Below are 12,349 nucleotides of genomic sequence, written 5' to 3'. Positions count from 1 at the left end.
CCTTCCAAAGTGCTGGGATTACAGGTGTGAGTGACTGCCCCAGCGAAAAGTTTTTATTTTTAAAGCATTGTGCTGGGCTGGGCGCGGTGGCTCACGCCTGTAATCCTAGCAGTTTGGGAAGCTGAGGTGGGTGGATCACCTGAGGTCAGGAGTTCAAGACCAGCAGGGCCAACATGGTGAAACCCTTCTCTACTAAAAACACGAGGGCGTGATGGTGGGCGCCTGTAATCCCAGGTACTTGGGAGGCTGAGGCATGAGAATCGCTTGATCCTGGGAGGCAGAGGTTGCAGTGAGAAGATCATGCCACTGCACTCCAGCCTAGGCGACAAGAGCGAAACTCTGTTTCAGAAAGAAAACAAGGTCGGGCATGGTGGCTCATGCCTGTAATCCCAGCACTTTGGGAGGCCGAGGCGGGCGGATCACGAGGTCAGGAGTTTGAGACCAGCCTGACCAACATGGTGAAACCCCATCTCTACTAAAAATACAAAAATTAGCCGGGCGTGGTGGTGTGCACCTGTAATCCCAGCTACTTGGGAGGCTGAGGCGGGAGCATTGCTTGAACCCGGGAGGCGGAGGTTGTGGTGAGCTGAGATCGTGCCATTGCATTCCAGCCTGGGCAATAAGAGCGAAACTCCACCTCAAACAAAACAAAACAAAACAAAACAAAAAAAACAAACATTGTGCCAGGAATACTGTAATCATTCCACATTCCTGCCTAATGAGAAAAAATAACTCTTTGAAAAATTTTTCTTTAACAAGAGTAAAATTAATGCTTATACTAAGAATAAACTATATCCCTCAATGTGTGACTCAAGTGAAAGCGAGATGAAGGCAAGTTACATTTATTTCTACTCATTTAGTGCTGACAAAGCATCATCTGGATGGCAGCTGAAGAAACAGCGGAGTAGGCAGCAGATTTTCACCCAACCCTTTCCATAGAAACAGCACCCCACCCCCACAAATCCTAATCAACATAAATAAAATGTTCCAACTGCAGTCTCCTCTCCTCCATCAAACACAGTTGATGCTATATTCTAAATTCTGCCTCCGCTACTAAAGGAGAAAATTGAAAGAGGCAACGATTACTTAAGTAAATAGAAATGTGATGACTTGGTGTTAAAATGTTCAAGTTGACTAAGTAAATAGATACACCTAAATATGAGGAAAATGGTGATTTTTCTTTCCTAACAGGAAACCTTGAGCTCACTTGTAATCAGAAATGCATTTTATTTAAAGCCTGACTATGATAACGAAGCTTTATTTTCTCCTCACTTTTAACGTACTATCTGAGAGAATCGGACTACTGTTTATAAGCTTTAAAACGGAAAGGTTCTAATGACAGAAAGAAATGGTTAAATGTCAAACACCTATCCATCACCCAAGCCCTAGAGAAATGCAGTCATATCAGATTTACGGTATGACTTTCAGTTTGGTTTATTCCTCGGTGCTGTTGGCTTTAAAATCATAATTGACTTTGCTGACACGTTGGTTTAAAAATCTGTTCATGGGAGATTGTCTATTCTGTAGCTAAATGATTATGTATCTCCCCACTGCAAAAACAAATCTAAAAAATCATTATAATTCTAATTTTTCTAAGCATTAACTAAGGAAGATTATGTTAGTAGTCAACATAACTACTGTGTAATAATAATTACCTATTTTGAAGATATAGCAAGGTGAAATTTTACTCACATTCACATGAAAACAATAAAGCATCTTAACATTGTTTCTGTATTTTGTTCAGAACAGCTTGTTTGAATGGAGTTGGGTGGGCATTGGGAATACCATTGAGTGTGTTATAGCTTCTAGATTTTGACACAGATTACCTCTGTGAATGAATTTCATTGTACTCCAGCATAGTTATTCAGAGTAAAACCAAGAACCATTTTATAGTTTAAATATCAAATAGCTTATAAAAAGGGCTGGGTAGGAGTACAGGAGAAGCTTTAAATAGGAAATACTGTGGAAACTGGACCTTACTGAATATAAATAAAAGTTTTAAATGTACAGATATGTACAGAGCAATTGAGGTGCTTATCATCGATGACAGATAGTGGGTGGTTTTGTATATTAAGATTCATGTGGGCCAGGTGCGGTGGTTCATGCCTGTAATCCCAGCACTTTGGGAGGCCGAGGCGGGTGGATCACGAGGTCAGGAGATTGAGACCATCCTGGCTAACACGGTGAACCCCGTCTCTACTAAAAATACAAAAAATTAGCCGGGCGTGGTGGCAGGCACCTGTAGTCCCAGCTACTAGGGAGGCTGAGGCAGGAGAATGGCATGAACCCAGGAGGCAGAGCTTGCAATGAGCCAAGATCATGCCGCTGCACTCCAGCCTGGGCGAAAGAGCGAGACTCTGTCTCAAAAACAAACAAACAAACAAAAACTTCAGAATTGTTAACTGCAGTTGACTTTGATGGAGGGAGATGGACCAGGTGGCTGGAGGAACAAGCACAGAGAAGAAAACTTTTTCTTGTTTTTTTTTTTTCTAACTAGTAGCTGTGCAGCTTTAAACTTTTTACTTTATAATGCACTTTCATATTTTTAAATCTTGTACAAGTCATATTTACAGCAAATTAGGGTTTTAAAATTTTACTTGGAACAACAGAGAGAAGCCAAATGGTAAGCTTGTTGACATGTAGAATATAATATTGGCCTTGGACATTTGAGTACATTTTTTTTTTTTTTTTTTTTGAGACAGGGTCTTGCTCTGTCACCCGGGCTGGAGTGCTGTGGTGTGTTCTTGACTCACTGCAACCTCTGCCTCCTGGGTTCAAGGGATTCTCCTGCTTCAGCCCCCCGAGTAGCTGGGACTATAGGCATGTGCCGCCACACCCAACTAATTTTTGTATTTTTAGTAGAGACAGGGTTTCACCATGTTGTCCAAGCTGGTCTTGAACTCCTGACCTCAGGTGATCCACCCGCCTTGGCCTCCTAAACTGCTGGGATTACAGGCGTGAGCCACTGCACCCTGCCCTTGGATAAGTTTAAAACAAGAATCTTGATTCTTATCTACTGGCACTTCCCATGGTTAAAAGTTTTGGCCACTTTTTTGTACTCTGATGAGAAATACATAAGCAAAAGACTGTAGCAACAGGCATTTAACATTAAAGTCAACCAAAGATGCTAAAAATGAAAAGAAGCTTAGTCAATTTCTTTATGACTAGACATCATCTTAAGACTTTTCCTGCTTACATGGATACCTTTTCATTCTCCTCCCTGTTATCAAAAAGCTTAGGCTAACCATACCTTCAAACTCTTAGGCTGTTGTCGAACTTCCATGACATGCTTTCGTCTTAGTTCTCGTTCTCTTCGCTTATTATATTCCAGCTGGTTAGTGAGCTCAGTTTGATGCTGTAATCTGATCAACTCACAGCGCATCTTCTGAATTGTGTTGAGGTGGCGGAACTCCAGTTCTTGCATAGATTCATGCTGTCGGAGTAGCATGGCATGCTCTAAGTCCTTCTGAGTCTGTCTTTTGTTTAACTCCTAATCCATAACACAAAAGACAAAGGTATAACTTACTGCTGTATAATGCCAGAAAAAAGTCCTAATTAACAGAATAACCAGTAAACAGATGTAATTAACCCTGTTATTCAATTATAGTTGCATAGTAAATAAGAGGGTTGTGACTTTTACCTCTTTAAATGGGCAATTAGTAGCACAAATTTCCTTATATTCATTTACTATTTATTCATATTATTTTATTACCATTAGCTTAAGACTAAATCTATATCAAGAGGTTTAACATTCTTCTTTTGTATACTTCCTAATTTTATATTTGAAGAGGGCTCCTAAGTTATCCTTTCAATTTCTTCAGAGTATTCTATTCAATTATTTTACACGCAGTCTACTCTGGTTAGTGTAGTGATTAAGAACACGGACACAGCTGGGCGCGGTGGCTCATGCCTGTAATCCCAGCACTTTGGGAGGCCGAGGCGGGTGGATCACGAGGTCAGGAGATCGAGACCATCCTGGCTAACAGGGTGAAATCCCGTCTCTACTAAAAACACAAAAAATTAGCCAGGCGTTGTGGCGGGCGCCCGTAGTCCCAGCTACGCGGGAGGCTGAGGCAGGAGAATGGCATGAACTCAGGAGGCGGAGCTTGCAGGGAGCTGAGATCAAGCCGCTGCACTCCAGCCTGGGCGACAGAGCGAGACTCCCTCTCAAAAGAAAAAAAACATGGACACTAGAGAGCTATACTGCCTGTATTCTAAATTCTGGCTCTGCTACTTGTGAGCAGTGAGACCTTCACTTAGTTAAACTAAATGTGCTTTAGTTTCATCATTTCTCAAATGCATATAATAATATAGCTATTTCACAGATTTAATGTGAAGATGAAATCAGTTAATAAACAAAAAGTTCTCAGAATAATACCTAGCACATGGTACTCAACAAATGTCATTCCTTTATTTTAGACCTCACAGGGCTCTAAACATTTTTTTAAAGAGATTCTAAAATTTTGTTTCATATTGGAAACAAGTAAACACATACATATATAATGTAAAAGTCAAACTTGCTCCTTTTGCCTTTGCAGACTCTCTCCCCAGAGGCCAACAGTTTGGTGCATGTGCTTCTCAACCTTCCCCAAGTTTATTCAGATTAGTCTATTTTACAAAAACATACAGTTTTAAAAACTGAACAACAATATATGTTTTAGGCACATAACTGGCTTTCTTCATTTAATAATATAATATACACGTATCCGGATCAGATCAGTACATAAAAGATTTTTTTTTTTTTGAGACTGAGTGTCACTCTGTCGACCAGGCTTGGAGTGCAATGGTACCAACTTGGCTCACTGCAACCTCTGCCTTCTGAGTTCAAGTGATTCTTCCTGCCTCAGCCTCCCGAGTAGCTGGGACTACAGGCATGTGCCACCACGCCTGGCTAATTTTTGTATCTTTAGTATAGATGGGTTTTCACCATGTTGGCCAGGATGGTCTCGATCTCCTGACCTCGTGATCTGCCCACCTCAGCCTCCCAAAGTGCTGGGATTACAGGCGTGAGCCACTACTACCCGGCCTGCTCAGCCAATTAAAAAAAAATTTTTTGGCTGGGCACGGTGGCTCACGCCTGTAATCCCAGCACTCTGGGAGGCCGAGACAGGCGGATCATCTGAGGTCAGGAGTTCGAGACCAACCTGGTCAACATGGTGAAACCCAGTCTCTATTAAAAATACAAAGATTAACCAGGCCATGGTGGTGCATGTCTGTAGTCCCAGGTACTTGGGAGTCTGAGGCAGGGGAATGGCTTGAACCCAGGAGGCAAAGGTTGCAGTGAGCCGAGATCACACCACTGCATTCCAGCCTGGGCAATAGAGTCTCAAAAAAAAAAAATTTGTAGAGACAGGGTCTTGCGATGTTGCCCAGGACAGTCTCAAACTCCTGGCCTCAAGTGATCCTCCCACCTCAACCTCCCAAAGTGTTGGAATTATAGGTGTGAGCCACTGCACCCAGCCAGTACATAGAAATTTTTAAAGTTTCATTGTAACCTACTGCTTTGTGACGCCTTAATTCTTTCAATCATTCCTCTGTGGTTGGACATTTAAGCTGTTTCCATGTTTCACTTTTTTTTTTTTTTTTCTTCAGACAGAGTCTCACTCTGTCGCCCAGGCTGGAGTGCGGTGGTGTGATTTCAGCTCACTGCAACCTCCGCCTCCCAGGTTCAAGCAATTCTTGTGCCTCAGCCTCTTGAGTAGCTGGGATTACAGGCATGCACCACCACACCCAGCTCATTTTTAAAATATTTTTAGTGGAGATAGAGTTTTACCACGTTGACCAGGCTGTCCTCGAACTCTTGACCTCAAGGATTACAGGTGAGAGCCACTGCTCCAGCCCATGTTTCACTTTTATGAAAAAAGTTTCAATAAATATCTATGTATACTGTATCACAGAATCATGTTACTATTTCTGTAGGACAGAGTTCTAGAAGTGGATTTGATGGATAAATGCTATGTGCGTATTAAATTTTAAAAGCTACTGTTAAATCCTGCTCCAAAGGGGCAATATCAATTTATATTCTTACTAATAGTGTCTGTTAACACATGCTATTACTAGGATTGATTGTATCTTTTACATTTTTCTTACATAATGGATGCAACTGTTTTAATTTGAATTTATTAGTAAACTCGCACAATTATGCTATATTACAAGCTTATTTCAACCCACTCTCAGAAATAAATTTATCTATACTCACAGGTATCCTAATAATGAGAATAATTTTTTTCTTTTCTTTTCTTTTTTTTTCTGAGATGCAGACTTGCTCTGTCGCCCAGACCGGAGTGCAGCAGCGCGATCTCAGCTCACTGCAACCTCCGCCTCTTGGGTTCAGTTGATTCTCATGCCTCAGCCTCCTGAGTAGCTGGAATTATAGGCGCCCGCCACCTCGTCCGGCTCATTTGTTTGTATCTCTACTAAAAGTAGAGATGGGGTTTCACTATGTTGGCCAGGCTGGTCTCAAACTCCTGACCTCAAGTGATCCACCTGCCTTGGCCTCCCAAAGTGCTAGGATCACAGCCATGAACCATCACACCCAGCCAAGAATAACTGTTTTCATTGGCAGAAGAGTTTCTACAACATTTACCCAATTAATAATTACATGATGATAAAAATGTATTTAAGGGCAGCACACACTTCATGGAACCCATTTCAGGTCAGAGGCAAAAACTGCCCAGTGAATTTCCTCATATGTAAAAATCAAGGCTGGCCACTGTGGCTCACACCTGTAATCCCAGCACTTTGGGAGGCCGAGGTGGGTGGATCACCTGAGGTTGGGAATTGGAGACTAGCCAGGCCAACATGGCAAAACCCCGTCTCTACTAAAAATACAAAAATTAGCTGGGTGTGGTGATGCACGCCTGTAGTCCCAGTTACTTGAGAGGCTGAGGCAGGAGAATTGCTTGAACCTGGGAGGCGGAGGTTGCAATGAGCCGAGATTGCCACTGTACTTCAGCCTGGGTGAAAGAGCGAGACTCTGTTTCAAAATAAATAAATAAATAAATAAATAAATAGATAAAGTAAAAATAAAAAATAAAAATCAACATTTTAAATTTTTCATTTGTGGATTGGTTAATATTTATTGAATGCCTACTGTGAGTCAGAAACTGGAGATATAAAAAATTGCATCAATTCCGTGATTTCATAAAACTTCCATTGTAGTGAGGGAGTCAGGAACAACCTCCCTACCCTACAGAAACACATGGTTTTGTGAACACACACATGTTCATGTGAGAAAGAGAGTGCAAAGAAGACCATATGTATTTAGTTAGTTGTCTGTCTGTTTGAGACAGGGTCTTGCTCTGTAGCTCAGGCTGGAGTGCAGTGGCATGATCATGGCTCACTGCAACCTCAACCTCCTGGGCTCAGGCAATATTCATGCTTCAGCCTCCCAGGTAGCTGGCACTACAGGTGCACACCACAACACCCAGCTAATTTTTTTGTATACATATATTTTTTGTAGAGACAGGGATTTGTCATGTTGCCCTGTCTGGTCTCAAACTCCTAGGATCAAGTGATCTGCCTGCCTTGGCCTCCCAAAGTGTTCGGATTACAGTTACCATACCTGGCTGCAAAGAATAATATTTAAAGAAAGCAGAAGAATGTGGTGGTGCAGTCCAGGCATGGTAGCTCATGCTTGTAATCCTAGCACTTTGGGAGGCTGAGACGGGCAGACCGCATGAGGCCAGGAGTTCAAGAACAGCCTGGCCAACATGGCGAAAGCCCATGTCTACTAAAAATACAAAAATTAGTTGGGTGTGGTGGTGCACACCTGTAATCCTAGCTATTTGGGAGGCTGAGGCACGAAAATCACTTGCACCCAGGAGGTGGAGGTTGCACTGAGCCAAGATGGAGCCACTGCACTCCATACTTGGCGACATGGAGAGACTGTCTTGAAAAAAAAAATTTTGGTGGTTAAGAAAGAGATTTTGAGGAAATGACATCTGAGTAAAGATATACAGGGAGCAAACAATCCATGTGAATATCTGGGGAAGAATGATTCAGACAGAGGCAAGTATAAGTGCAAAGTCCCTGAGACTAGAATGGAATTGGAATATTTTCAGGAAAGATTCTTTTGATAAAGGATTTAAAATTTCTCATCACTCAAACTTACCTCCCTGACAAGGTCCTGCTCTAAGTTATGACGCCCAAGTAACATTCTTCTCTTGAAGCGACGGCATTCCAGCTCTAGGTATTGTCTTTGACGTCGAAGAAGGTTAGCTTCTTCTTCTGCTTGGAAATGCTGTATATTCTCCTTCTGCTTTGAAAGCCACTCCTGTTTTTCTTTTTTGGGGGTACTCTGGTTTTCATTTAGCTCCTGGCAACATAAAAAACAACTCAGGTAAAAATAGGCCTGGCACGGTGGCTCACGCCTGTAATCCCAGCACTCTGGGAGGCCGAGGTGGGCAGATCACCTGAGGTCAGGAGTTTGAGACTAGCCTGGCCAACATGGCGAAACTGTCTCTACTAAAATACAAAATTAGGCTGGGCGTGGTGGCTGACACCTGTAATTCCAGTACTTTTGGAGGCTGAGGCGGGCAGATCATGAGGTCAGGAGATCGAGACCATCCTGGCTAACACGGTGAAACCCTGTCTCTACTAAAAATACAAAAAAAATTAGCCGGGCATGGTGGCGGGTGCCCGTAGTCCCAGCTACTTGGGAGGCTGAGGCAGGAGAATGGTGTGAACCTGGGAGGCGGAGCTTGCAGTGAGCTGAGATCTCGCCACTGCACTGCAGCCTGGGTGACAGAGCGAGACTCTGTCTCAAAAAAAAAAAAAAATTAGCTGGGTACAGTGGCATGGGCCTGTACTCCCAGCTACTCAGCAGGCTGAGGCAGGAGAATTGCTTGAGCCCAGGAGGCAGGGGTTGCAGTGAGTCAAGATCACACCACTGCACTCTTTGGTGAAACTCCGTCTCAAAAACAAAACAAAACAAAAAAACCAACAACAACAACAACAAAAAAAACAGGGGTCGGGTGCAATGGCTTACACCTATAATCTCAGCACTTTGGGAGGCTGAGGCAGGCAGATCACCTGAGGTTGGGAGTTCGAGACCAGCGTGACCAACATGGAGAAACCCGGCCTCTACCAAAAATACAAAATTAGCCAGACATGGTGGTGCACACCTGTAATGTCAGCTACTTGGGAGGGTGAGGCAGAGAATCGCTTGAACCCAGGAGGTGGAGGTTGCAGTAAGCTGAGATGGCATCACTGCACTCCAGCCTGGGCAAGAAGAGCGAAACTCAGTCTCAAAAAAAAAAAAAAAAAATTAGCCAGGTGTGGTGGCACGTGTCTGGAGTCTCAGCTACTTGGGAGGCTGAGGCAGGAGCGTTGCTTGAACCTGGGAGGCAGAGGTTGCAGTGAGCCAAGATTGTGCCACTGCACTCCAGCCTGCGTGACAGAGTGAAACCCAGTCTCAGAAAAACAAAAACAACACAACGAAAACCCCATAAAAATTACCTACGTGAATATTATCATTTTGCATCAGTAAATTTTAAATAAAAGTTCTTGGCTGGGCGCGGTGGCTCACGCCTGTAATCCCAGCACTTTGGGAGGCAGAGGTGGGCAGATCACCTGAGGTTGGGAGCGCAAGACCAGCTTGACCAACATAGAGAAACCCTATCTCTACTAAAAATACAAAATTAGCCAGGCATGGTGGTGCAGGCTTGCAATCCCAGCTACTCGGGAGGCTGAGGCAGGAGAATCACTTGAACCTGGGAGGCGGAGGTTGCAGTGCAGTGAGCCGAGATCGCACCATTGCACTCCAGCCTGGGCAACAAGAGCAAAACTCCGTCTCAAAATAAATAAATAAATAAATACATACATAAAAATTAAAATAAACAAATAAAAGTTCTTAATTGTGTTTTTTCTCTAATGCTCAGGCAGGGCAATGCCCTCTAGAAGGCAAGTGGTATTTACATCTTTCTTTTTTTTTGAGACAGAGTCTTGCTCTGTCGCCCAGGCTGGAGTGCAGTGGCGCGATCTCGGCTCACTGCAACCTCCACCTCCTGGGTTCCAGTGATTTTTCCTGCCTCAGCCTCCTGAGTAGCTGGGATTACAGGCATCTGCCAGCATGCCCAGCTAATTTTTTGTATTTTTAGTAGAGACGAGATTTCACCATGTTAGCCAGTATGGTCTCGATCTCCTGACCCTGTGATCCACCCGCCTCAGCCTCCCAAAGTACTGGGATTACACGTGTGAGCCACTGCACCCGGCCTTTAGATCTTTCTTGAGTTACCCACTCAATCGGAAAGGAAAGAGAGATATGTACACCAGAAAACATGTGTATCTTTTGTCTCTGCACAGCTACGTTTCTGATGGTTCCTAACTTCGAAGTACACAATGATTGGTTAATAAAGTAAAACACATCCTTCTTTAAAACCTTCCCAAGAAGAGACAGAAGATAGTACTTTCAGGTAAAAATCACGAGTGAACTAGGACAAAAATACAGTTAAACATCTCGCTTCTTGGTTTTTGACATCCTTGATGCTAAGTTTTTGGCAAAATTATGGAAGGACTCAGCATAAGAAAACTGGAAATTAAATGGAAAATAAACAAAACCATGGGAGAATAGAGACATACTTTATGAATGGTATTTAATTTTCAGCATTAATAACCACTGAACAAATCAAAATTAATGATTTTCCACATTGTTTTACATACCAGCTCATAAACTATCTCAATAAGAATGCATTTATATTGAGCAATGTGAAAAAACTGGCAATATACTCAATGGAGCAAACTAGAATTTTTTTTTTTTTTTTTTTTTTTTTAGATCGAATTTCACTCTGTGACCCAGGCTGGAATGCACTGGCACGAATTCAGCTCCCTGCAGCATGGACCTCCCAGGTTCCAGTGATCTTCCCACCTAAGACTACTGAGTAGCTAGGACCACAGGTGTGTCCCACCATGCCTGGCTAATGATTTTTTTTTTTTTTTTTGCTAGACACAGGGTCTCAACATGTTGCCCAGGCTGGTCTTGAACTCCTGGGCTCAAGCGATCCTCCCACCTCAGCCTCCCAAAGTGCTGTTATAAGCATGTGCCACCCACCACTCTGGCCTTGATACTCTTTTGGTAAAAAATATACTAGTATTAGCATTCTGTGGCCAGGAATGGTGGCTCACATCCATCTGTAATCCCAGCATTTTGGGACGCCAAGGCCGGAGGATTGCTTGAGCCCAGGAGTTTGAGACCAGTTTGGAGAATATGGCAACACTGTTTCTACAAAAAATAAATTATAAAATTAGCTGGGCATGGTGGTATGCGTCTGTGGTCCCAACTACTTGGGAGGGTGAGGTAGGAAAACTGCTTCAGCCTGGGAGGTAAAGGCTGCAGTGAGCAGTATTGTGCCACTGCACTCCAGCATGGGTGACAGAGCGAAACCCTGTCTCAAAAAAAGCAAAACAAAACACCATCAACATTGTTTAGAATATAAATAGCTCATTTTTCTTAGTATAGGATCATTTTTCAGAGACTACTAGACCTCATTCATGGTCTTTCCCTTTAGTTAATAAAATATTCAAACACATAAAAATAAAAAGCACATAAATTATTACTTAAGAGTTTATGTGTATGCACGCTATGGGAAGAGAAAGGAATAACATGGGCACACAAGTAGACTATATACCTGGTTATCTTTTTCTTTTTCGAGGCAGAGTCTAGCTCTGTCGCTCAGGCTGCAGTGCAGTGGCCCAGCTCACTGCAACCTCCACCTTCCAAGTTACAGGGATTCTCCTGCCTCACCCTCTTGTGTAGCTGGGATGACAGTTGTGTGCCACCATGCTTGGCTAATTTTTTTATTTTTTATTTTTTTTAATTTATTTTTTGAGATGGAGTCTCACTCTGTCACCCAGGCTGGAGTGCAGTGGCACGATCTCGGCTCACTGCAACCTCTGCCTCCCGGGTTCAAGCAATTCTCCTGCCTCAGCCTCCTGAGTAGCTGGGATTATAAGTATGTGCCACCACGCCCGGCTAATTTTTTTGTATTTTTAGTAGAGACAGTGTTTCACCATATTGGGCAGGCTAGTCTCAAACTCCTGACCTTGTGATTTGCCCGCCTCGGCCTCCCAAAGTGCTGGGATTACAGGGGTGAGCCACCGCGCCTGGCCATACCTGGGTATCTTTTTCAAAATCTTCTGCCAGGGAACTCTCCCCTCCAAGACTCTGATATGTCCCTTCCTCTCTACTGAGAATCATTATTCTAAATGAACACAAATACATACACAACAACTTAGCTTCTAAAAGAAAATGCATTTATTTGTTTGACTATATGGTATATGCCTAAAGGATTATCTAAACAAACTAATCCATAAAGCTAAAGTCTGATTTCACTGGAAAACAAAACAACTG

The 12,349-nt window shown here is 43.0% G+C and overlaps 1 protein-coding gene across 2 annotated transcripts in view; it reads right to left on the bottom strand.

Moving 5' to 3' along the window:
* TAOK1 (TAO kinase 1) overlaps positions 1-12,349 on the bottom strand; it is a 161,541-nt gene that overhangs the window by 26,134 nt on the left and 123,058 nt on the right. Inside the window, exons 16-17 of one of the 2 annotated variants that reach the window (NM_020791.4) lie at positions 8,114-8,317; positions 3,251-3,490 (exon numbers count right to left, since the gene is read on the bottom strand). The exons of the other annotated variant lie outside the window; for it this stretch is intronic. Of the exons in view, the coding sequence (NP_065842.1) occupies positions 3,251-3,490; positions 8,114-8,317 (444 nt within the window). The remainder of the gene's footprint in view (positions 1-3,250; positions 3,491-8,113; positions 8,318-12,349) is intronic. 2 annotated transcript variants of the gene reach the window in all.

Source organism: Homo sapiens, chromosome 17 (assembly GCF_000001405.40).
Source record: "Homo sapiens chromosome 17, GRCh38.p14 Primary Assembly".
Taxonomy (NCBI): domain Eukaryota; kingdom Metazoa; phylum Chordata; class Mammalia; order Primates; family Hominidae; genus Homo; species Homo sapiens.
This window is presented reverse-complemented; position numbering and strand designations above follow the sequence as displayed.